This window comes from Homo sapiens, chromosome 6, assembly GCF_000001405.40.
Source record: "Homo sapiens chromosome 6, GRCh38.p14 Primary Assembly".
Taxonomy (NCBI): domain Eukaryota; kingdom Metazoa; phylum Chordata; class Mammalia; order Primates; family Hominidae; genus Homo; species Homo sapiens.
The window spans coordinates 124,963,494-124,988,247 of NC_000006.12; the positions used below are offsets into that span (position 1 = coordinate 124,963,494).

The window sequence follows — 24,754 nt, forward strand, 5'->3', positions numbered from 1 at the left end:
TCTGATCTCCCTGCTCGCGCGAAGAGGTGACCGACACACTTACTGAGGATCTCTGTTAGTTTCTCACGTCTCAGTTGTTATTTAAGTGTATTATGACCTCACTGGTTTACTTAACTGGAATTTAACTTTGCTGTGAACTTCAGGCTATGGTTGGCATGTGTAGAAGGCACAAGATACAAGTTGTTGCCCTCCTCTTATTTCTTATACAGGATTGCAAGCACAAGCTTGCTCAAAGGAGGAGAGGAAGAGACTGCCTCATCGGCCTGGTATCCCAGAAACTAACAAGCAGTGGGCATAGAATAAATATTTATGGAGCTGGTGGAGAAAAGAATTGGAATAAATATTTCAGACCCATAATACATGAATTTGTAATTTTGCTTCATTTGTATATTCCAGGAAAGAGTGAATGTTTAAAAAAATGTATCCCTTGGCCTTTGCCTACTTTTCAGTTTCCTTTTTCCACAGTAAAGTTGAAGTACTTTTCTTTCACTGAGGTTTTAAGCCAGCACTCTTTAAGAGGGAAGCAAAACAGAAAGAGCAAAACAAAGCAAAGAGAGGCTAAGAGGTTTCTCAGAACAAGCACTGGTGAAACTTTCCTCCTCTGCTTTTATTTGAAAACTTGGTTTTTTTTCTTGGAAAGCTTGAGAGTGCACCAGACCAGCTTTCCTTCACTGACGGTGAATGCGTTCTTCCAGCAGTTTTCAATCTGTGATGTTTCTGCCAGTGTTTTGCACAATCCTGGATGCCCTTTGATCCTGTGTCCAATTGTCCTAGGCCTATTCATCTTTCAAAACCCTGTGTGTTCAGGTGCCAACTCTTCTGTGAAGCGTTGCCTCACCCTCCAAGTCACTGCTTATATACTTTCACAGTATCTTATATTATCTTACATGCACTGAAGTTGTTTCTTTCGTGTCTGCTTGTCTTGTTAGACTGTCTGGACAATGTCTTAGAGTCCCATATGTGGTAGCTTCATGTTGAGTCCCTTGCCCATCATAGTGTTTTTAATAACATTGGCTGGGACAAACTGAACAGGGCTCCGTACCATGTGATTCCTCTATGTTTTTTGGCTAACTCATGCTTGGGTCTAGACTGAAAGTGTGTACAGTCCCTAACTAAAAATGCAAACAAAGACTTAAAACGGTATGTTACATAAACAGTAAGTTGGCTAAAATAGTTGGGATTATTTAAAAGCCTCTGAGAGACTGTTGTTTCTTTCATGCTTTATCTACAGAGATTCTTAAAACAGGAGGAATGTCTGCTGCTGGTTGTGGTAGTTTCTGTATCATCATCCTCAAAACAGATTTCGCTGCCCTGCGATGGGATTCAGACATTTCCAAAATATAAGCCCGCCTCCAGGGAAGTCACTGTGAGAGCAGATGTGTACAAAAGAACAATACAAGGTAGCATGGGATGAGATGTCAATAGAGTAACAATTCCAGATAGCACTTCCTGTTAAATGCTGGATACACATTCCAGAAATTCAAGGGAGGTAGTCATTGTGGCTTGGGGTACTTTACCTAGCAGTTTGATTTCCTTATGGTGGGCCCTTTCCCCAAAGCAGTTTTCTTTTTCTTTATTAAACCTCATAAGTTAGTTTTAGGAAGTTTTAGTAATGGTAGTAGGGAGACAGAGGGACATAGTCAAGTGGTCATTGCAGTGTACAGTACAACCACTAAAAACTCCTCTGCAGTGACACAGTATCTGAAGCTTGTCTGCAGCATTTCTGATTGTATGTATGTGCCTGACCTTCTTCCAAAGTATTTGCTGGGACTTTCAATAAATAATAATACACATTATTGGCCGGGTGCGGTGGCTCACGCCTGTAATCCCAGCACTTTGGGAGGCTGAGGCAGGTGGATCACCTGAGATCGGGAGTTCAAGACCAGCCTGACCAACATGGTGAAACCCCGTCTCTACTAAAAATACAAAATTAGCTGGGCATGGTGGCGCATGCCTGTAATCCCAGCTACTTGGAAGGCTGAGGCAGAAGAATCACTTGAACCCAGGAGGCAGAGGTTGCAGTGAGCCAAGATCACATGATTGCACTCCAGCCTGGGCAACAGAGTGAGACTCCTCTCAAAAAAAAAGAAGAATATACATTATTTAAAATAATAAACAGCAACAAAAAGATGAGTCATAGATACCGGGCATGCTTTCACCTCAGGGCTTTTGTACTTGGTTTTCCCTGTTCCAGGAAGGTTCCCTCCATGGCCCTCTTATCTGCTCACTGCACTCCTTTTCAGGGCTATATTCAAATGTCATGCCCTGTGACTTTCACTGACCACCCTTTTAAAAATTGAGCCTCACCCCACGCTCTCTCTCTTTTTTCCTGCTTTTTATTTTCTCCATAGCACTAACATACTCTGTCTTACACTTAAGTAATTAAGTCAAGACAGAAGTTTTCACATTATTTGTACAGGTCTGTATCTTTAGCATCTACAGCGTTGTCTGGTATATAACAGATGGGCAACTAAAACCTACTGAATTTTTGAAAGGCCTGAGATTGCCCCAGAAACCAAGGCTAGGAAGTGGTGTTCTGCATTGGCACTAAATTCTATTCTGAGCTTCTTGATACTTAAGACAAAAGACAAAGGGCTTAAAGCGGACAAAAGTAACAGGTTTGCTAAGTTGGTTATTAAACTTAGAATTTAAGAGCTTAGATAAACTTTGAGCTTATACATAAAATAGCCTTTTTTAGTTGGTTAAAAATACAGGATTGTGGTTGTAATATTTTTGATCTGTGTCAATTCTATGGTCCCTCTACTCAAAGGTTGTGTTTCTCTGTCACTTAACCTCTCTATGCCTTAATTTCCTCATCAATGAAATGTAATTGCAGACAACCTGTAATAACCCACCAGTTCCAAAGCAAAACAAAGTCAAACTGCATGGTTATTTTGTTGCCCTACTGAACCACATCAAAAGGGCATAGTGAGTGCTTTCTTTCTCATCTTAAAAGGTCTCTTAGGTTTGACAGAAGCAAATGTGTCAAGCCTAAACTTTCAGGGTTCTTAAGACCTTTTGAAAAAAATGATGTATTGAGATAAAGAGTTATTAGTGACTTTTTTCCACCATTTCTTTTAGTTTGTGCCACATAGTGCATTATTTAACATCATTTAAGAAAATAAAAGAGTCCCTATTAAACATTTTATGCCAACATTAAATTGCATATTAAATGTGAGTTGGACTATTGCCTGGTTAACTGAATATTTTTGTAAAAGGAGATGCACAGTTCTTTGAAAGAAGATGTCAACTTGGAAGATAGGAATATGGATTTTTAGACAGTATGTTTTCAGCAGTGCCATGGACTAATCTGTGACAAAGGCCAATTGGTAGGTGTCATCAATATTTCAATATAGACATAGCAAATTAGATGGTGACTTAAATACCTCTATGCTCTGTATAAAATTATAGTTTTGTTTTTCAAAACATAGTTCTTCTCCAGTTATTGCCATGACTGTGGCTAGGCAGCCCATCTTAGTGGAATAACTTTACAGTGCAGTAGCTGCCATCCAGTTTCTGATCGCCACGGTGAAGAGGTGAGCTGACAGATTATGAATCTTTAGCACCACAGTATATGTTGATTTAGAGCTCTAAATCCAAGGCAGAGATAGTTATATTATTCATATTATATTGCTCGTGTACATAAATCTGGAACATTCATTTCAGAAGTACATTTCCCAGTGACCTGTGTATGCGTGTGTGAATATGGCTAAAGTACGTAGTCCCAGGGATGTCTGCAATATCCTGCACATCCCTTAACCCTCCTAAGTATTGGCCTTCTCAGCTGACTTGGCCTTTACCACATTTTCCTAGGAGGAAATATTATCTGTTGCCTTCTTTGTTTCACAGAATGGTACTATGTTCATTTCAGAAATCTTCCACCAATATTTTTCTTTTATGATTTGGTTTAGACAGAAAAATCTGTCATAAATATGAAATATTAATATTTAGTACTTTAGATGAAGAAAGGAAGAGACATGAGGATGCCAAAGGGGCTTGCTGAAGGTGACAGCTGTTGTGGATTCCACCACTCTGCCTAAAAGTGCTAGAGATTGGCAGATGCATATAACTTGGAATGTATACACCTGTCCAATGAGTATTAATAGATACAAGCAACACATTTCTTCTACAGATTGTGAACAAAACAGCTGCTAGATGATAAAGTCCTAAAATGACTGTCTACTGTAGTCACCCTAGAGTCAGTGACCCAGAGGTGAAAGCTTATATATCCTATTATTAAATTATGAGTCATCCAAATCTTCATGGGTAAAAGTGTAACATAACATAAATTTTTTTTTTTCTTTGAGAGAATCTCCCTCTTGTCGCCCAGGCTGGAGTGCAATGGCTTCATCTTGGCTCACTGCAACCTTTGCCTCCCGGGTTCAAGCGATTCTCCTGCTTCAGCCTCCTGAGTAGCTGGGATTACAGGTGCATGCCATCAAGCCAAGCTAATTTTTTGTATTTTTAGTAGAGACGGGGTTTCACCATGTTGGCCAGGCTGGTCTCGAACTCCTGACCTCAGATGGTCCACCCGCCTCGCACTCCCAAAGTGCTGGGGGATTACAGGCATGAGCCACCGTGCCTGGCCCCATAAATTCATTTCTTTTAAACCTTAAAGCACCCTGCATATTTTTGGAAACCATTGTGTTCAGTGTTGAGTTTGAATGCAGTTGTCTTCACACAGGTGAATTTATAGAACCTGTCATGCCCGGTGTGGTTTTGGTAGTCCTGAAAATGTGAAGAATAATATGAGACTGAAATCTGTTTTGAGGTCACTCTAAAAATTTGAAAAGTGGGAATTAAGGCATATTTAAACTTATCCTTCTGTGTGCAAAATGTATGTGTGTGTGTGTGTGCGTGCGTGTGTGTCTGGGGGTGCAGTAACATTTGCTTTCATGCCTTACTCATTCCATTATTTTCCTCCACTCTCTACATCATTTCTCTTTAATAATTTTTCTTTTTTCTTTTCCTTGTTCTTTTACTTTTTGAAATCTGATTTTAATTGGCATTTGATTTCTCTAGAGGAATCCTCTGTCAAGTGCTAAGCCCTGGGGCCAGCAGGACTTTTTCCGAGGCATGCTGCATGGGTATTTCCTGTCCCTTCCAGCTGTCTGGAGATGAGGCTACATAGAGAAACCTTGCATTGAGTTCCACTGCCTAAAATATCTCAAATAACATTACAAGTACTGCTGACCTAAGGCATCAGCTGATACCTTTAGAGTGTGATTTTTCCCTCCTAGAGCTTTTATACCTGAAGGCTCTTCCTTAACTCCTGATACAAAAGACATAAAAAAGAGATCATTAGAATTTAAACCCTCAGCTTTTTATTAAGGGTTTGTGATGGACAAAGTAGGCATACCTGAGCGGTAATTTCTTATAATTATTCATTTATCAGTGCACTATTTGTGCATTTAACAAACATTTATTGGGGTACCTGTATGATAAGCACCATGAGATACTCTATAAATGTATTAAATGTCCTAAAGGAACCATCTTATAGCCTTGTTGGCAGTATTTTCCCCAGCTTTATCTGATGGCATAAATAAGCTTTTTTTTAAAAAAGTTACTAGACAGCTATGGATCTGCTTTCTCTCTGGGAGATTTTTATTAAGCCAGTTCTGGGACACCAGCTAACTTTTTATTAATCTCATTTACTATTCCTTCTGTTATGTTTAATCCAAAGTTATAAATCTATTACTTATTTCTTAATATAAATATTTCTCAGCTATGTTTGATTGCTGGAAATATATTAGTAAATACAAAGATATACATATTTTGTTCATTTCAAAATATTTTCTGCCTTTATATAAAGAAAACACAATTTTGCTCAGTTTGTTTTGGATCATTCATGACATACTTAAAAATGTTTATTTTTTTCAAATTCAGTTTGTCAGAAGGGTTTTACATTATAAGCAAAATGAACCTTCCCAAATTGAATTTTTGCTTTAAAAATTCAATGTGTATGGGAGAATGACTTCTAGTTTATATCGTTCTCTATCAACTTTATCACTACTATTTGCCCCACCAATTTTGGGATAACTGCACTTGAATTTGCAAGTTTTTACAAATAGTAAGAAAGACCATTTATTGGACATCTATCTTGTAAACATTCTTACATGTATTTTTATTTAATTCTAATTTACTTATGTATTAAATACTTATTACATACAAGGCACTGTTTTAGGCTCTGGGGATACAAGAGACTAAAACATTTAAAGCTCCTGACTTCATGGAATTATATGCTAGGCTGTGGAAATGGAAAATGAGATAAGTAAATTATTTAGCTTATTAGAAGATAATAAGGGCAATGGAGAAGGAGAAATAAGGGAAGAGTGATACTGGGGAGGGATTTTCCTTGATAAATCTATAGTTTTGGGGGGGTTGTCATGGAGGATATGTTTTACGAAGGGATTTTTGAGAAGAGATCTTCATGATGCCAATGAAGGAACAAACCATGAGGATATCTAATAGAATAATAAGGTGTAAAGTTCCAAAGATAGAAGCATACGTGTGAGTTTCCAGGAATCGCAAGGAGATCTGTGAGGCTGAAGCATAGAGAATGAAGTGGGTAGTGCTAAAAAGAAGACAGCAGGAGGAGTGGGGAAAGCTGGTCGGGCAGGGATTAAGCCCATCAGGTATCTTCATTTCCCTAAAGTAAAATGTTGTAAGAAGATACTGAGCAACAGACTAACCAGATATGCCTTTCCCTTTAAAAGAGATTACTCCATCTCTTTGTGGAAAATATACTGTAGGAGTCAAGAGTGGAAGTAAAAAGATCAGTTAGAAGACTATGGAATAAATCAAAGGAGAGACAATACAGTTCAGACTAGAGTGATACAGGCGAACGCAGTTTGAACTGGTTGAATTTGGAATATATTGTGAAGTTAGAACTGACAGAATGCCAATGATTGCACATGGGATGAGAGAAAAAGAGTCAAGCATGAGTCAGGTTCTGAGCTCAAGCAATTAGAAAACTGGGGTTGCCGTTTAATAAGATGAGGAATAGTGTAGGAGGACTAGGTTTAGGGAGAATGAGAAATTTGATGTGCCTTTTAGACATTCATGAAGGGATGTTGAGTAGGCAGTTGGCGTCTGGCATTCAGAAGAGAGATCTGAGCAGAAGATATAAATTTGAACGTGGATGGCATATAGATGGTATTTAAAGCTATTAGACTGGATGAAGTCACCTGTGGAGGGAGTGTCAGTAGCTAGAGAAGAAGGATTGGAGACTGAGTCCGAGCATACCAATGTTCACAAATATGGAGTCTGGGACATCAGAAAGAAGAAGCAAAGAGTCTAAAAGGGAGTGGGCTAATTCGGCAAGAAGAGTACTGAGAGTACTTACCCAGAAGCCAAAGACAGTGTTTTAAAAGGGATAATCACATGTGTCTAATGCTTCTGATAGTTCCAGCAGGATGAGGTTTGAAATTGACCATCAGATTTCCCAACAAGGAGTTTATTGGTAACTGTGAGCAGTGCTGTTTTCATTGGCAGCCATGGGATGGTTTTCAGGTTAGAGTGGGTTCAAAAGAACAGGAACAATTCTGTTTTTGTACTGCAGGTAGTAGAATGTTATATGAGGGAACTCGAGGTTAGAGAGATTAAATAACTTGCCCAAAATCTCAAAGCAAGGGAATGGCAAAGGTGGAAGTGAAATTCAGATGTTTGGCTCTAAAACCTATGGCTTTTGTACATTCTTTAAATTGATTATTTCATTTATAAGGTAAACTTATATTTTTCTTTTTCTTTTAAGTTGATACATATATTGTACAAAAAGCACAAGTCTTCCAATCCAAGAAGGAGAAGACACTTAATTACATGTTTTGAGGAAGCGAAAGGCTGCCACTCAAACTTAGGTCTAGAGATTACAGCCAAACTCAGCCTCATCTACTTGTAAGGAAATCAAGAGGAATTTGGCTTAGGAAAGCTATGATTTGATTTGATTTACTGTTAAGTTTTTTTTTGTTTGTTTGTTTGTTTTGAGACGGAGTCTCACTCTGTCACCAGGCTGGAGTGCAGTGGCATGATCTCGGCTCACGGAAACCTCCACATCCCAGGTTCAAGCGATTCTCCTGCCTCAGCCTTCCGAGTAGTTGGGACTACAGGTGCGTGCCACCATGCTCAGCTAATTTTTGTATTTTTAGTAGAGATGGGGTTTCACCATGTTGGCCAGGATGGTCTTGATCTCTTGACCTGGTGATCCTCCTGCCTCGGCCTCCCGAAGTGCTGAGATTACAGGCGTGAGCCACGGCACCCGGCCGATTTACTGTTAAGTTTTAATGGCAACATACTCTCCTGTTTTCTTCCTAAGTTTCTGGTCATTCCTTTTGTCAGAACTTTCTTGTATTTTACCATCTCTTAATGTTGGTGTCTGTGTAGTCCTGAGCTAAACCTCTTCTCTTCTCACTTTGTATACTGTTAGTGGGGCCATCTTACCCACTCTCATGGTTTCAAGTAACACCTACCTGTTGTTGATTCCCAAATCTTTATCTGTATCCCCAGTCAAGTGTCATATAGCCATCTCTCTCCTGAACAATTGTAGTGGATGTCCCATACATAGCCACCTTAAACTTAACTTCTCAAAACTAAATCCCCCTTTCCTCCCCTTGTTTGCCACATGCTCAAAGCCTTGCTTCTTTTTTGAGATTCCCTGTTTCCATTCATTGTACTCAGGTCAGAAACCTGGGGGGTCATCATTGAGCTATTCTTCTCCCTTATCTCCCACATCTAATTAATCACCAGGTCCTTTCAATTCTTCATCTTTAAAATATATCTGTATTCTTCTCTACTGATTCTATTTCTGCTGTCATTTCCCTCTCTCAGGCCTCTACCATTTCTCTCCTGGATTCTTACAAGAGCTTCCTACTTGGTCCCAGTGATGCTCTCTTGGCTCTCTCCAACTTACTCTCCACACATATGCCAGAGGGTTCTTTATAAAATGCTGGACCAGTCTTGGCACTCTCCTTCTTAGCCTTTCAACACCTGCTTCTTGCTAATAGATTAGAATTTAAACTTTATAACGGTATCTCATGTCCCTGTGCATTCTGACTCCTGTGTGTCCGTCTGAGCTTTCTTTCTCAACTGTCCCACTACACCTATAGAGATATTAAATTTTTTTCTTCTTTGAATGCTCCGTGACTCTGAATTATGAGCCTTTACCTTTAGTGATATGAAGTTCTGTCTTAGGGGAATCCTCTTTCTTTCCTTGCTGCCCTAACTCTCTTTGCCCCATTCACACCCATTCTTCTAGTTCAGCTTAGACATTCTTCTGGGAGAATCTTCTTGACCCCCTATATCTAGATTAAGCATCCTTCCTATATTCTTTGATAACCCTCTTTACTTAAGGTTATCAAACTATATAGGAATCTTCTATACAATTATTCTTGTTTCACTGTATTTAAATTGTCTGTTTCCTGCTCTGTGCTTCCATTAGACTACAAAGCTTGATGCATGTAAAGACATTATTAATCTGTTTTTTACTAATTTCCTAACACTTTGTGTGTTATATATACTCTATAAGTAGAGTGGATGTTTAAGTTTATTCCACAAATAATTAATACAGTAGGAGCTAATATCGTCAATATGTAAACTATTTGAATAGATAGGCAAAGTGATATTTTTAAATGAAAATTTCAGTATTTCATTTTCTTGTTTAAAAACCTGTAAGACCTCCTCATTGCTTCACATAGAGATCCCAGCTCATAACACTGTGGATAAGATTTGGCCTCTGCATCCTCTTCAGTCCCTTCTTCTATCACTCCAGCTCTCCTCCTTCAAGCCATAGAGTGTTCTTCTCATGGTTAATTTCGCTTCACTGACTCAGTCTTCCTTATATCACCACCTGAGTTAGTCCTGCTGTTAAGGTTCTTAGAGTCCTTTTCACTCTGCCACCACTGTATTTACCTCTTTTTATTAATTATATGGTATGTGATAATTTGATGTTTATTACCTTGGTTCTCCCCCATTATTCTTTGAGCTACTTTCATAACTAGCACCTGGCACAAAGCCCAGAAGAGAATAGGTGCTCAATAAATATTTGTTAAAGCCTGAATGAATGATTGAAAATAAATTATAATATGTTTGCTATAAAAAGTAAGGTAACTATTTGAATCGGAACTTTTGACATCTTATTCCACAATTCATTTATTTAGATTGGTGCAAAAGTAATGGCAGAAACCCCAATGACTTGCATCAATCCAGTGAACTACTGTGGCCTGAGTCTTTATGCTAGCATCCCATCTATCACTGAGGTGTGTCTTCTTTAATTACAATACCTGTTCTGGTTACTGTCTCCTGTTTAACAGATTCTTCCAGAACCTAGGAACATAAAAAAAAAGAACGATTTTATTTTGATGATGACATTGTGGGTCAGGAATTTGGGAAGGCCTCAGCCAGTCAGTTCACTTTCGGGGTTTCTCATTTGGTTGTAGTCAGATGTCAGGTCACTCACTTGGCTGGCAGCTGATGCCGGCCGTTGTCAGTGAGCTCAGCTATGGCTGTCTACCGAGTGCCCCCACATGGCCTTGACAACATGGCAGTCTCAGAGCTTCTTATTTGCAGGCTGGCCTCCCCCGGAGCCAGCATCCCAAGGGATGTGGAAGCTGCATGACATTTTCTGCCCTAAGTTTGGAAGGCCCTCAGCATAACTTTGGTGAGGCAGTCATAAGCCTGCCCAGATTCAAGGGGAAGGGACATTGACCTCAACTTATTTTGGGCAAGTGTCAGAGAATTTGGGGCCATATTTTAAAACCTCCACTACTTAAGAGAAAAATCAAGAATGTGGTGAATTAGCTTTCGAGCCTGAATTTTAATTTTTTTAAAAAATTTTGTCTTTTCAATCATTTAATTAAATATTTCCAATTCATATCATTCTATTGGTAAATAACTTTGGTGGTGTGTTTTTTGTGCTTTATCTTTAAATAATTTAATAATACAGATTCATGTAGTTTTAAAGAAAACTTAGTGAAAGCTATTATCTTATAAAATTAAATATTTTAGGTAGTTCCACTGTAATTGAAATACGTCAAGGTGTCAGGGTCAGCTTCCAATAATTCTGATTAACAACACTTAATATTATTCTGTATAGCATAATTTCCTTTCCATTAGAGTATATCAAAATTACAGCTTCAGCTGTAGTTAAAATATTTGAAAAACTTAGGAATATCTTTGTTAATGAAAGGAGTTCATGTAACAGATTATTTTTGTAGTCTAGATATATTCTGTATAGAAATAGTGTTGTATCTAATGACACTGCAGAATTAACCATCCTGGTCAATCTTTGTGAAATTGGCCTACAGTTTGTTTGTGGTATTCTAGTTTGTGTGGGTGATGTTATCGTGTGATTCGTATCTTCTTGAATAGATAGCTGTTTATGTTTCCAGAAGCATAGATGTTGTCCTCGAGTTTCTTCCTGTTAGAGATCTGTATTCCCTGGAACAGAAGAGGCATATTGCTTTTATTATGTTTGCCCCACTCCACCTTTGCCCCCTGGCTCAGGTAACTAAATTCTGGGCTTTTTCATTCATGTGAATGACTAATCCCTTTTTAAATCTTTCTAAGCTATTTGCCTCAATAATATTCTCTACTGTAAGATTCAAAAGCTAATTATAGGCTACCTGGCAAATTGCTTCCCTTTTTGTGGTATTGATTCTTGCTTTATTTACTCACATGATTATTGGCCACACTCAGTATTCATGAAACTCATGAGCTCTGAGTTGTATGTGGCAAGTTTAATCACCACAGCTTTTCCCCCGGTTGCTTAACAATTTAAAACAGCAGGAAAAATGAAACAATTGCTTGTAAGCCATTTTTCCTAATGTTTAGAGTTTAGCGTATTATTAATTTATGTTCGTCTAAGTAGAGCTATTGGGTGAAATCACAGGTGACTCTGATATGGCCAGATTGTAGCCCATCTTTTTGAAAGTAATTAATTAATGAATTATTCATTCATTCATTGAGACAGTGTCTCACTCTGTTGCCTGGGCAGGAGTGCAGTGGCTCAATCATGGTTCACTGCAGCCTCTAACTCCCAGGCTTAAGCAATCCTCCCACCTCAGCCTCTCGAATAGCTGGGACTATAGGCGTGCACCACCATGCCTGGCTAATTATTTTTTGTTTGTTTTTAGTAGAGATAGAGTTCTGCCATGTTGCCCAGGCTGGTCTTATACTCCTGGGCTCAAGCGATCTAACCACCTGGGCCTCCCGAAGTGCTGGGGTTACAAGTGTGAGCCACTGCAATCAGTCCAGTTTTTTCATATGAATATATAACCAAAGTGGGAAAAGTGACTTTGATTCTCTTGCCAGAGATGCTCTTGGTGGAAAACAATAGGGGCAATCCCAAAATTCTCATTTAATCCTACTTTTAACTAGTTTTACTCTTAACTTCAGTGTTTTAATTTTCCTGTTATCATTTTTCCACCTCAAGATTTTTAAAAAATATTTTTCCTATGTTATCATTTTTCTTCCTCAAGATATTTTTTAAAACAAACACTTTGAAAACAATAGGCTCCTAAAATTAAAGAAAGAAGTATATTCCATGTGTCTTCAAGTGTTGGTGCTTTATGTTAAACTTATATGGTATATGTGTATGTGTGTATATATGTATACATAGACATATGTATACATACTGTTTGTCAAGTTCTCATGGTTATTTTTGTGTCACAAGGGGAATATTTGTTGATCTTAATTTTTACAAATCTAAGCCTAGTCATTTCCAGTTAAGTTCATGTATTACCGGCGTAGTTTCTTCCCTCCCTCACTCCCTCCCTCCCTCCCTCCCTCCCGCTCTCTCTCCTTTCCTCCCTTCCTCCCTGTCACCTGGGCTGGAGTGCAGTGGTGTAATCTTGGCTCACTGCAACTTCCACCTCCTGGGTTCAAGCAATTCTCCTGCCTCAGCCTCCTGAGTAGCTGGGATCACAGGTGTGTGCCACCATGCCCAGCTAATTTTTTGTATTTTTAGTAGAGATGGGGTTTCACTATGTTGGCCAGGCTGCTCTCAAACTCCTGACCTCAAGATCCACCTGCCTCGGCCTCCCAAAGTGCTGGGATTATAGGTGTGAGCCACCACGCTTGGCCTATTTATTTATTTTTTTAGATAGATTCTTCATAGTGATTCTCTTGCCTCAGCCTCCCGAGTAGCTGGGACTACAGGTGTGTGCCACCACACCCAGCTAATTTTTTGTGTGTGCTTTTTCTAGAGATGGGGTTTCACCATGTTGACCAGGCTGGTTTTGAACTCCTGGCCTCAAGTGATCCACCTGCCTGGGCCTCCCAAAGTGCTGGGATTACAGGTGTGAGCCAATGTATCTGGCCTCAGGTGTAGCTTAAATCAACCAGAATAGATAACCCTTGGGTTTACCTTTCTTTTGTTCTTAGTTTTTATTATATCACCTTTTGACTCATGGAGGCTTTTCCTTCGAGATGAAGGGAAAGCTTAGAAGGAATGCTAAGCAGGAAAACCCTGAAAGGATAGTAATTTTTTCCTGATACTTTGCTCGTTTTTTTGTTTGTTCTCAAGATTTGTTAAAACAAACTGTTCATACATGCTTTTCTCTTTAAAATCACTAGTATATCTACAAACTAAAAACTTGGAATCAGAATTTTCCATCCTACTTAAAAATCATCCAAATGAAGAGCTTCAGAGGGAGTTATTAACTCTTTTTAAAAATAATATAAAACATTAACACTTTCTGACTAGTTGCCAGATTAACATCAGGGAAAGTACAAATGTACTAGCTGAATTTCAGCCACAACCTTTGCATACTTGACAGATGAGACACCAAAGTAAGTATAATGATTTAGAAAGCACAAGCAACAGTGCATACTTGTGCATCTCTTTGCCTGTATGAGGTGTCTTTTCAGTTACAATAATTGTTAAAACAAAGTATTAAAATAAATTGAACATGGACCTTTGAAGCTTAGGATCACTAAATGCTGAACAAAGATTATAAAATAATGAAGCCAGTTCTAAAACAATGCTTTCACAATTACTGGTGTCAGCAAAATGTTTTATATCATTAATTCATGTATTAAAATTAAGATGCTGAAAAAATCATGGGAGCATTTAGATTGCTCTGTTCTAATATGCTTTTGGCTTATTACAATCTAAATGGATTTGACAGAGCTCTGTTGGTTTGCTTAGGGTGGTAAGGAGGTCAAGGTCAAGCAGGCAGTCTCCTCACAGCCTCATTAACAACATGCTGACCTGTGGCCATAAATTACCCTTAACCGTGCACAGTCATATCATAAAGTGTCTGCTTCTGGTCATAAGACTGTGACTGAGACAAGATGGAGGAATTACTGTTAATCTCATCACCTCTTCTGAAAAAACAAATTGAAGCACATGTTCAGGTTATTAGGGAGTTGCAGAGATTTTACATAGAGAAATCTTTTCTTCCACTGGCTAAGACTTTCCTTCTTTTTACTGTGGTCAAACCTTGGTAGATCTGTTCTCTAGTATACAGTTGGTTTAAGAAAATCAAAAGGGAGGAGAGCTGGCGTATTCTTATTCTGTTAAAGATAAAATGATACAAACATTAAAAAAATACTGAGCACAAAATATTTGCTTAGCACCATGCTAATCATTATGATAAAGATAAACAATGTGTCCCTATAGAATAGTCCATGGTCCAGCTTCTTAGAAACTTTAGAGCTTTAGTAGGTTAAAATAAAGCTCTCCAGGCAAATATGGGGCCATGTATATGAATAAATTGTGTTACAGGATTCCTTCTGTGCTGCTTCACCAGTCAGAAATCTCTTTGGCCACTGCTGCCTCTGCCTGGACCTCGCTCAGGGACTTCTGGGCTTGCTCCACCTGCTTAGCCCGGCAGGCTGCATTCCGCTTGTGCCCCAGACCAGATCCTGTGCCCACCGTGGCTCTGCGCTCAGCCCATGGATCAACCAGGCATGCTGTGAGCGGCTTCCACCTTGGGTGCCAGCAACTAGATGAGGGGAATGCGGTGGTGCCTGATAACTCAGAGATGCCAGCAGTCGTGGAGCCCCAAGGGGGGTTACAGTTCTCGCTTGTGGAGTCCCAAGGTCTGAGTCCCCAAGAAATGTTACAGCTCTTCAATCCCATAGCTCAGTGAGTGGGAACGTGTTACAGCTTTCTTTTTCCCATAGTCTGACAAGCGGGAGTGTGCTGCAGCTCCTTTATTCTCGTCGCCCACAGCTCAGTGGGCAGAAGGGAGGGTTACAGATCATTCATTCCTGGTGCCTGCAGCTCAGTGAATGAGAGGGTTACAGCTCATTTGTTCTCACTGCCCACAGCTTGGCAAGTCTGGGCTGTTGTCCCCTGACCAAGAGGAATAAGGTACGTGGACACATGGACACCAGAGAGTGAGTAAGGCAGAGAATAATTTTATTGAGCAACAGAAGCAAAGCTGTCAGCGGACAGGGCACCCTGAAAGCAGATCCCCTTTCTGCCTGTGTGGCTGAGTCCAAGGTTTTTATGGGCTTGGAATGGGGGAATGCAAGCTGATTGGTCCATGGGTGGTCTTTGGAAAAAGCACCATTTGATTGGCTAACAGGTATCATCCAGAAGAAACCAATAGAGAGAGAGAGTGTAAGATGGTGATAGAAGTTCTCACTCTGGTCATTGACTCTATCCAGAGCTGGCAGTTTCGTTTTCAGGCTTCAGGCTGTCTTGGCTTGAAGGTCGGGTTTCACCAAGGACCTGACCCTGTCTGCCTACAAATTTGTCTGTCTCTTGTTATTATCAATTGTGTGATGCTGATTGTTGACTTAAGGTGTTCTAGGAAGAGAAAGCTGTCTTTGTAGGAGTAGAAAAAGTTAGAACTTGGCTATTGTCTGAAAAATGGTTGTTGCTGCACAGGGAGGGTAGGAGAAAGGAGTTAGGCGTGGGCAGCTCTCTAAGTGAGCAAGCATGTGGAAATAGGGTGTGCAAGTGACCATGACTGGAAAGGGGTTTAGAAAGGCAGTGTGGCAAATACAGGTAGAGAGATGAGAGCGGAATGGTGACAGCAAGAGTCAGCAGAACAAAGATACCAGCGTGGCGCAGAGCACCAAAGGCAGAAGGACCTGAGCAAGTGTGCAAAGCCTGGGGTGGGCATAGGCATGGCATGTTTTGAGAACTGAAGGAGGCAATGAGGTTGCAGCAGCACAGAGAGCAGAGGGGAATCTGAAAGAGATGACTTACAAAGGTAATAGGGTCAGATAGTATAGATCCTCCATGGAAATTATACTTTATTTCAACTATGATGGTAAATCTTCGGACAGTTTGCTTGAGCTGTAACATGACAATTAGTGCTTTAAGAAGATTCTAGCTTCTGTGTGGAGAATGAATTGTGTTTAAGGGTTGAGTTGGCAAGAGTAGAAGCAGGGAAATGGGTTAGGAGGCAATTGCAGTAGTCAGAGGTGACAGTGGTTTGCACTAGTGTACAAGTGGTGGAGATGGCTCTGTCTCATGTCCTGTCACTTACTGGATCTTTGCCTTTAAAAAGTGTTGGAAGTGCATTGTCTTTAGTATAGCAGAACGTCCTTGCAGCCTTTCTATTGAGACATGCTAGGTTTTACAAGTCTGTGTATCAGCTGCAGTTTTTATCTTTCAAGCAACGTAGGATTAGCCTCTGTTCAACTTGATTCTCTCATATTTTACCCATCTCGAAGGGATTTTTTGTTTGTTTGTTTTTAATGTTTGGTTTCAGAGACATGTAAAAAGTCACTGGCCAAAAAATTTGGAAACATCTTTTGCGAAGATGTCCATAATTATTTCACTGATTGTCAGAATCAGTTTTTTCAAAAACGTTGAGCCACCCTCTGCTTCTCAATAGTTTGCAATTTGCTTTTTTTCAGTCTTTCGTTAATTTGATGCTCAGCAGTTTATCTTCATTACTTTTTAAAACAAATAGGAACTACCTACCACCCTCCCCTTCCCAGAAATAACAAAGGTCTTACTGGCCAACCTTCAGTTCTAAGAGAATGTTATTGGAATTTTTTGGTAATTCTATTTAGTTCTTGTTTTTAGTTTGTTGAATTGTTTTGGATAAGTCATTTGCTTCCCCAGTTAATTCCTATTTAATTACACATATTCCTCTCTTCCTTCTAATTCTTTTTTTATATAACAGTGTTCCCTTCTGGTGTAAGTTCCACATCCTCTACCTTTAATGACAAAGGCCTTGGGGTCATGGCTTAACCATACAATAGCTGTTTTGATCGTGCCTGTCCTTTTCTTTGTTTTTGGTTAGAGTAGAGTGATAAAGTAACAACTTAAACAAAGATTTTTTGTTGATTTTATGCTGAATGACTGAGTTGCCCCTCCCTCCATACTTTGATTTGTTAATTTCATAGAGTCCTGAAATTTCCCTCTAATTACACTCTATATTGATCATAAAACCAGTAGTATTTCAGTGGGAGGTAGTAAAATGTCAGTGTGATTTTAAAAAAATTTATGAGAAAGCCTCAAGTATTTGTCTTTAAAATAGATATGTTCCATGTGCATGTTGTCTGTATTTTAGAAGAACATAAACTCTGTACGTTTGTTTAATTACTGATTTCTCAGTTTTCTCTGCATATCTGGATAAATGTAATTTAAGGAGCAGTAATTTACTCAATTTAAAATATTTTCAAATTAGATGGTGTGAGCAGTCACAGACACTATATGGTGCTTAAGAATACTGTTTATAATGTTTGTGAAAAAATTGATAAAAATTAAAGTAATTAAAAAATTTGATTTTATATTTTATGTTTAAAACAGTCATTAAATTTGTAATATCTCATTAAATTATTTACAGGGTATTTAACTGGAATTTTTCCCCATGTGAACACAAAATATCTGAGACGGGTTTCAGTTAATTTAGAAAGTTTATTTTGCGAAGTTAAGGATGCACTGTGGCATATCCCCAGGAGGTCCTGACAATAAGTGTGTCCAAGGTGGTCGGGGTACAGCTTGCTTTTATACATTTTAGGAAGACATGAGACATCAATCAGTATGTGACCAAACATTGGTTTGGTTGGGGGGGCGGTGACTTTCAGGCCATAGGTAGATAAGAGACAAAAGATTACATTCTTTTGAGTCCTTGATCAGCCATTCACTGAATATACAATTTAGTCTGGCTCAGTGAATCTGCCTTTTTACATAAACAGCAAGGCAGAGAAAGCAATCAGATATGCATTTGCCTCAGCTGAGCAGAGAGATGACTTTCTGTCCTGGACTTGTGAAGATACGCTATCATATATTGCCAGGGTGAAAATCAACACAACTGTTTAACATAGAGTAAAGATCTTGGCCGAGGGCGGTGACTCATGCCTATAATCCCAGCACTTTGGGAGGCCGAGGCAGGCAGACCACTAGGTCAAGAGATAGAGACCATCCTGGCGAACGTGGTGAAACCCTGTCTCTACTAAAAATACAAAAAAAAAAAAAAATTTGGCCGGGCGTGGTTATGGGCACCTGTAGTCCCAGCTGCTCCTGGGGCTGAGGCAGAAGAACCACTTGAACCCGGGAGGCAGAGGTTGCAATGAACCGAGATCGCGCCGCTGCACTCCATCCTGGCAACAGAGCGAGACTCTGTCTCAAAAAAAAAAAAAAAAAAAAAGATCTTGAGGCCCACAAGGAATTTCCTTGTGGGCAAATTGTGAGGGAGGTATGTAGCTATGTAGCTTTTTTATTTTTGTAGCTATCTTATTTAGGAATAAAAGGGAAAGAAGGTTTGCCTGATGTACTTTCCAACTTGACTTTTCCCTTGGCTTAGTGATTTTTGGGGTCCTGAGATTTATTTTCCTTTCACACTCATATTCATCTTTCTGTCAAGAATCAACTCACTTCAAAGTAAATTCAATGTTTGCAAGAAGTTTCTCTGTAAATGTGATGGGATTTAATTTTTGAATCATGACAGTTTAGCATTTTTCCTCAAAAGTACCAACTTTACTGAAAAATAGAAGATATTTCATAGGGTAATACAAGATACTTTTTCAATATTTATCTCACTTTCCAGATACTTGGATATTTTCTATAGCAAAAATGTGGTCATTGGTACCTCACGTATGGGAAAATTCTGTAGTCTAATCCCCACCCCCAGCCTCCAAAAAAAAAAGGATTCCTGCATTGAATTTTGTTTCAGTAACACATTTTACATAATAACTTATAATCATTGCCGTTTTATAGATCATTTATTAATAATATATTTACATATGAGTCTATGCTAGATCTTGCCTGAAAACAAAGTATTAATAAACAATTGCTTTATGTGCCTACCCTCTAAAGGCATTTGGTTTCTAGATGATATGCAAACACTGGTTTCTCAAGTCATCTTTGGTATATAATTGATACATTTATAAAGTAAAATATGTCAAAAGTTGATGACTTTATGGTATGTGAAAGTAATTTACTCACTTCCTGGTGAGAAGAATAGGAATGGGGTTGCATTATTCACCTGTGTTACCTTTGATGAGTACATTGAAGAGCTGTGAAGGGAATTCATTCATCTTTCCTTGGCTAGCAGGTTTGCTGCTGGTTCATGAAAGGGAAAGAAAAGGGAAGAAGCACATATAGGTGTCACAGTAAAAGGATCACTTCATAGAGTAATTTGTTTTAAGGAAAAGCTTTCTATATATTTCTTCTTCAACGCTCCCCCCTCAACCACAAATAGAGGTTCTTAACTTGAGAGTCTATTTATTTATTTATTGTCTTCAGAAGGGTCATAAATGCTCAGAAATTTTATGTAAAATCAATTTTTATCTTATGAGTGGGCCCATAACATTTATTAAGTCTTTGGACCATTACCCAAAAAGGTTTAGAGCCACTGGTTTTAAAAGGCTTTTGTGTCTTGTGATGTAGAGACAATCAGATTCTGGTAATTATTTGGTTTTCATGGTAACTAAGATGTGGGATAGAACTCCGACTGTGTACTTTATTTAGTATACAGAGGAGGACACAAACATGAGAAGATTAAGGTAGAGAGTGAAATATGGTCAGGACAAATGTGAATTTAGAGCCTGAGTGATGGTTTAGTGGATTTATGTCCTCACTTGTCACTAATGAAAAGGACCTTACAGGTTATATAATTAAAGGTAGATACTAAATACTGAAACTAATACCAGTCATTCTATTCCATCTTCTGTGGTAGGCTTCACTTTCATAAGGGTGTGGGGGAGATACCTAACGATGTTTTCACCCCTAGTGAAATTAATTGATAATTTCCTATGGTGCTTTGTGGCTATATTTCAAATGCAGTATTTTCTTACTGGCTCAGTAGGAAGAGGCTTGGAGTTAGATGATTTGGGTTTAATCTTTGCCCTGTAATAACTATAAGACTCTTGGAAAAGATACTTAATGGGTTAGTGTCTTAGTCTGTGCTGCTACAACAAAATACTGAGACTGGGTAATTTATAAATGACAGAAATTTATTGCTCACAATTCTGTAAGCTGAGAGTTCAGCATCAAGGCACCAGAAGATTCACTGTCTGGTGAGGGCCTGTTCCTCATGCATGGCACCTTCTATGCATCCTCACGTGACAGAAGGGGCAACACAAGCTCTCTGAAGCCTCTTTTGTAAGGATATTTATCCTGTTTATTAGGGTAGAGCCCTCCATCACCTCCCAAAAGCCCCACTTCTTAATACCATTCACCTTTGGTGTTACATGAATTTTAGGGAGAAGCAAACATTCACACCACAGCAATAAGTTAAATCATTTTGTATTTTTATAGGTACAAACAAATTACTGGAACAGAGAAAAGTGCTAATAATGAGACCCACTTGTGTATGGGAACTTGGGATATAATTGTGGTTGTGCTATAGTCAATAAAATAGAGTGGCCAGGCATAGTGGCTCACGCCTGTAATTCCAGCACTTTGGGAAGGCAAGGTGGGTGGATCATTTGAGCCCAAGTGTTCGACAGCAACCCGGGCAACATAGAGAAACCCTGTCTGTACAAAAAATACAAAAAAGTAACCAGGTGTGGTGGTGCATGCCTGTAGTCCCAGCTACCAGGGAGACTTGAGGTGTGGGAATCACCTGAGACTGTGAGGTCAAGGCTGCAGTGCGTTGTGATCACACCTCCAGCCTGGACAACAGACTGAGACCCTTTCTCAAAAAAAAAAAAAAAAAAAAGAAAGAAAGAAAATAGAGTGGAGGGGAGGGGACATTTCAATAAAGGTGCAAGGATGGTAGGCTTTCCATATAAAAAATTAGGTTTTTTTTAATCTCATCATATGGAGAAATGAAGTCCAGATATGTTAAAGACCTAGATGTGTAATCAAATTTTAAGTGTACTAGTAGAACTGATTTTCTGATGTCTGTATAACCTTAGTATGGAAAAATATTTCTTAGAACCTGAGAAATACAACTCTGAAAGGAAATGACTCAGCTTTATTCCCTCTAAGCAAAGAATTCCTGCAGGGGGAAAATGATACTATAAACTGAGACAAAAGACAATTCACATCTGGGAAAATAGTTTTATAATATATGTAAGACATAAAAGGTTATTATCCATAGTATATACAAACTCATACAAATCAGTAAGCAAAAGACAAAGCACCCAATAGAAAAGAAATGCAAAGTTTAATGACATTAATGGCCAATAAATGTATACAAAAAAGCTCATACTCATTCTTAGGTCACATGATCCATACTAATAGGATAATTTAAATCAGCAAAACCAGATAGTGTCTCACACTTAAAAGTGCAAGATCCAAAAGTCTGGTGTGTACCAAGTGCTGGTTAGGATAGGGGAAAAAGGGATGTTCACACACTGTTTGTTCCCAGAAAAACTCCTGCACTTGTGTAAGATGTGTGTATGAGAATATATACTCCAACATTATTGGGAACAAATTTCTGTTTTTCTCTTTTTATTTTTAATTTTTGCGGATACATAATAGGTATGTATATTTATGGGTTATATGAGATGTTTTCATACAGGCATGTAATACTTAATAATCACATCATGGAAAATGGTATATTCATCCACTCAAGCATTTATTCTTTGTGTTACAAATAATCCAATTATACTCTTAGTTATTTTGGAAGTGAATTTCTATCATTAGGAAATGTGTGAGAGAACTCTGATATATTAATAAAGTAGAATATTCAACTGCACATAATTTTAACTAAATCTCTACATATTAACATGATATATGTATTGAAAATACAATATTAAGGAAAAGAAGATCAAGTTTCAGAATTAAAGCAGTTTCAAAGCAGTGGAATTTTAAGGACACATAAAGCCACAATATATTGTTCAGAGAAATGTGTATAGTATAGTAAAAAAAACATAAATCAGATTTATGAATGTCTAGCTCTGGGAAGGAAGAGAGAGGTAGCAAGGAATTATATTCTTTATCTCTAAGGTTGTACTTTTTATATAAAAAACCAGGAAGCAGAATGATAAAATATTAACATTTATTAATAAAGGGGTGTTGTGAACATGGTTATGTTACATTAATCAACTTTTTGGTATTTCTTTGATTTTTGGCAAATAAGTGCTGCAAAGATCTGAATGTTTGTTTCCTCCCAAAATTCATGTGTTGAAACTCAGCCATCAATGCAATAGTGTTAAGAGATGAGGCGGGCCTTTGGGAGGTGATATAGGTCATGAAAGCTAATTTCTTTCATTGCCTTTTAAAATGAATTCTAGATATGTCACAAAGGTAGAAATGATCTTCTCCATTAGAGGAGTATAATTCAGATTGCATTCCTCAATTACCCTTCCAAGTATAAATAATGCATTTGTTTTCTCTGCCAGGCTGGCATTAGTCTTGATTTGTAACTTTTCCTATTTACAAAGCCAAAGATTGCTATTTCTATAAATGCCTTACCTTCTTTTGTGACCTTGTTTTTTGGTGATTGTCAGGTTGACCCTTTTCCTCCCACATCAAGAAAGTTTTGTGGTTAGAAGAAAGGGAGGGCAACCATCAGGCAACAGACTTCCTTTGATGTCATATTCAAGTACTGATCTTAAGCTGTCCTTTGGGTTTTTACAAAGATACTCTAATGCATGGCTTCCATCTGATCCCTTCCTCCAGCTGTCTTCAGCCTTTGCTTTAATGTATTTTGATTATTGTATGCCCTATCTTTATGTTAGTAATCATGCTTAATCATTTCAAATAGACTTTTTAAAAGTTGAATTAAACCAATAATTGGTGCAATAGCTTTCTTTTTGTGTTTATTCAAAAGAATTTTATAAGGTTATCTCTTCCCTGTCTTATGTGAAAGGCTGGCAGACATTTTCTGTAAAAGGCCAGACAGTACATATTTTAGGTTTTGTAGGCCAAGAGGCAAAATGAAGAATATTATGTAGGTACTTGTAATACAAGAGAAAAGACAAATTTCCACATATTTTATTGAGAAAATTGAAAATATAATAGTATTAGTAATAATAAAGTATCTTGAAATTTGTAATATAGATTTACTAATGTAAATAATAGAATTATTTCTTTTGAGATAATGTTTTGCTTGCCTGGGGTTGAACATTAATGTTTCCTGTCATCAGTGTTAATTGTAAATATTCATCTGTCGTACTGATCTGTGTTGAAATGTTACATATTTCATATTTAAAACATCTTTTCACACATACAGGTTTTGCCGAATATAGATATTAGTCTACTAGCATGTATGCACATTCATAATTTGGACGTTTTTTATACGATTCTTTAGATTCATCTCTTGATATTTGCCTTTTAGAATTTCATTACAGTGCAGAATACTTCCAATTGAAAATTAGGTGGAAGCTCCTCAGTTGCACAGTCAAATGGATTTTTTAAAAATTCCTTATTGAAATATGTTTCACATATCGTATAGTTCACATATTTAAAGTGTATAATTATTATTTTGTATATTCACAGGATATGAGACCAGTATCACTACCTAATTTTGAAACTTTTTTTATTCCCCCTAAGAGAAATCCCATACCCATTATTCATCATTCCCTGCCCTCACCCCAGGCCTCCTATCCCCATCCTAAGAAACCATGAATCTAGTTTCTGTTTCTATAGAATTGCTTTTCCTGGACATTTTATATAAACAGAATCATGCAATATGTGGTCTTTTGTAACTGACAAATGGATTTTGAAATAAGGAAATTTCAAGGTCCAAAAAATGCTGTTGGAATGTTGAAATCATAAATTGAGCTCAGAAAATGTGTCTACTGCAAATTAGTGTGAAAACGGAGATCTTGCTTCTTGTTTTTTTAAATGATTATTTGCTTATTTTTAGAGACAGAGTCTGGCTATGTTGTCCAGGCTGGCTTTGAACTGCTAGGCTCAAGTGATCCTCCTGCCTCAACCCGTGGAATAGCTGGGACTATACCTTGCCTGGCTCTTATTTTAATTTTTGACAGGATGAGAAGGTGATATAGAAGCTCAACACTTGAATCTTGTGATTCAAATATTAGTTGTTACAATGATTTTACTGCAATATTAACTTGTACATTCTGCGGTTTGTTGTGATTTTAGATTGGATTAATTAACATACATTAGAAAGTCTGCAGCAAAAGCTAATTTCCAAAGCCGTTAGATTAAGTGTCCCCAATCCAGGGATCAATCCCCGGACTGTTAGGAACCAGGCCACATAGGAGGAGATAATGCTCGGGTGAGCGAGCATTACCACCTGAGCTCCGCCTCCTATCAGGTCAGCGAAGGCATCAGATTCTCATGGGAGTGTTAACTGTATTGTGAACTGCACATGCGAGGGATCTGGGTTGCACGCTCCTTATGAGAATCTAATGCCTGATGATCTGAAATGGAACAGTTTCATCCCAAAACTATCACCCCTGACCCCCATCCATGGAAGAGTTGTCTTCC

General features: G+C 38.3%; 1 protein-coding gene across 19 annotated transcripts in view, besides 1 other annotated feature; it reads left to right on the forward strand.

Moving 5' to 3' along the window:
- Window positions 1–24,754, forward strand: part of RNF217 (ring finger protein 217) — a 130,198-nt gene that overhangs the window by 1,057 nt on the left and 104,387 nt on the right. For 5 of the 19 annotated variants that reach the window (NR_136734.1, XM_047418245.1, XM_047418246.1 and 2 more), the window contains exon 2: window positions 7,985–8,105. The exons of 7 other annotated variants lie outside the window; for them this stretch is intronic. Coding sequence is in view for 8 of the 12 variants with exons in the window: in XM_047418245.1 (XP_047274201.1) it covers window positions 7,985–8,105 (121 nt within the window). In the remaining 4 variants the exon portion in view is untranslated. 7 more of the 19 variants (NR_104440.3, NM_152553.5, XM_011535499.4 and 4 more) reach the window with 6 other exon arrangements.
- Window positions 15,157–15,357: a silencer, noted in NCBI's record as "peak6102 fragment used in MPRA reporter construct". NCBI's record gives its function as "represses an SCP1 promoter by STARR-seq MPRAs in K562 erythroleukemia cells {active_cell/tissue: K562}" and the evidence as "EXISTENCE:reporter gene assay evidence [ECO:0000049][PMID:32103011]".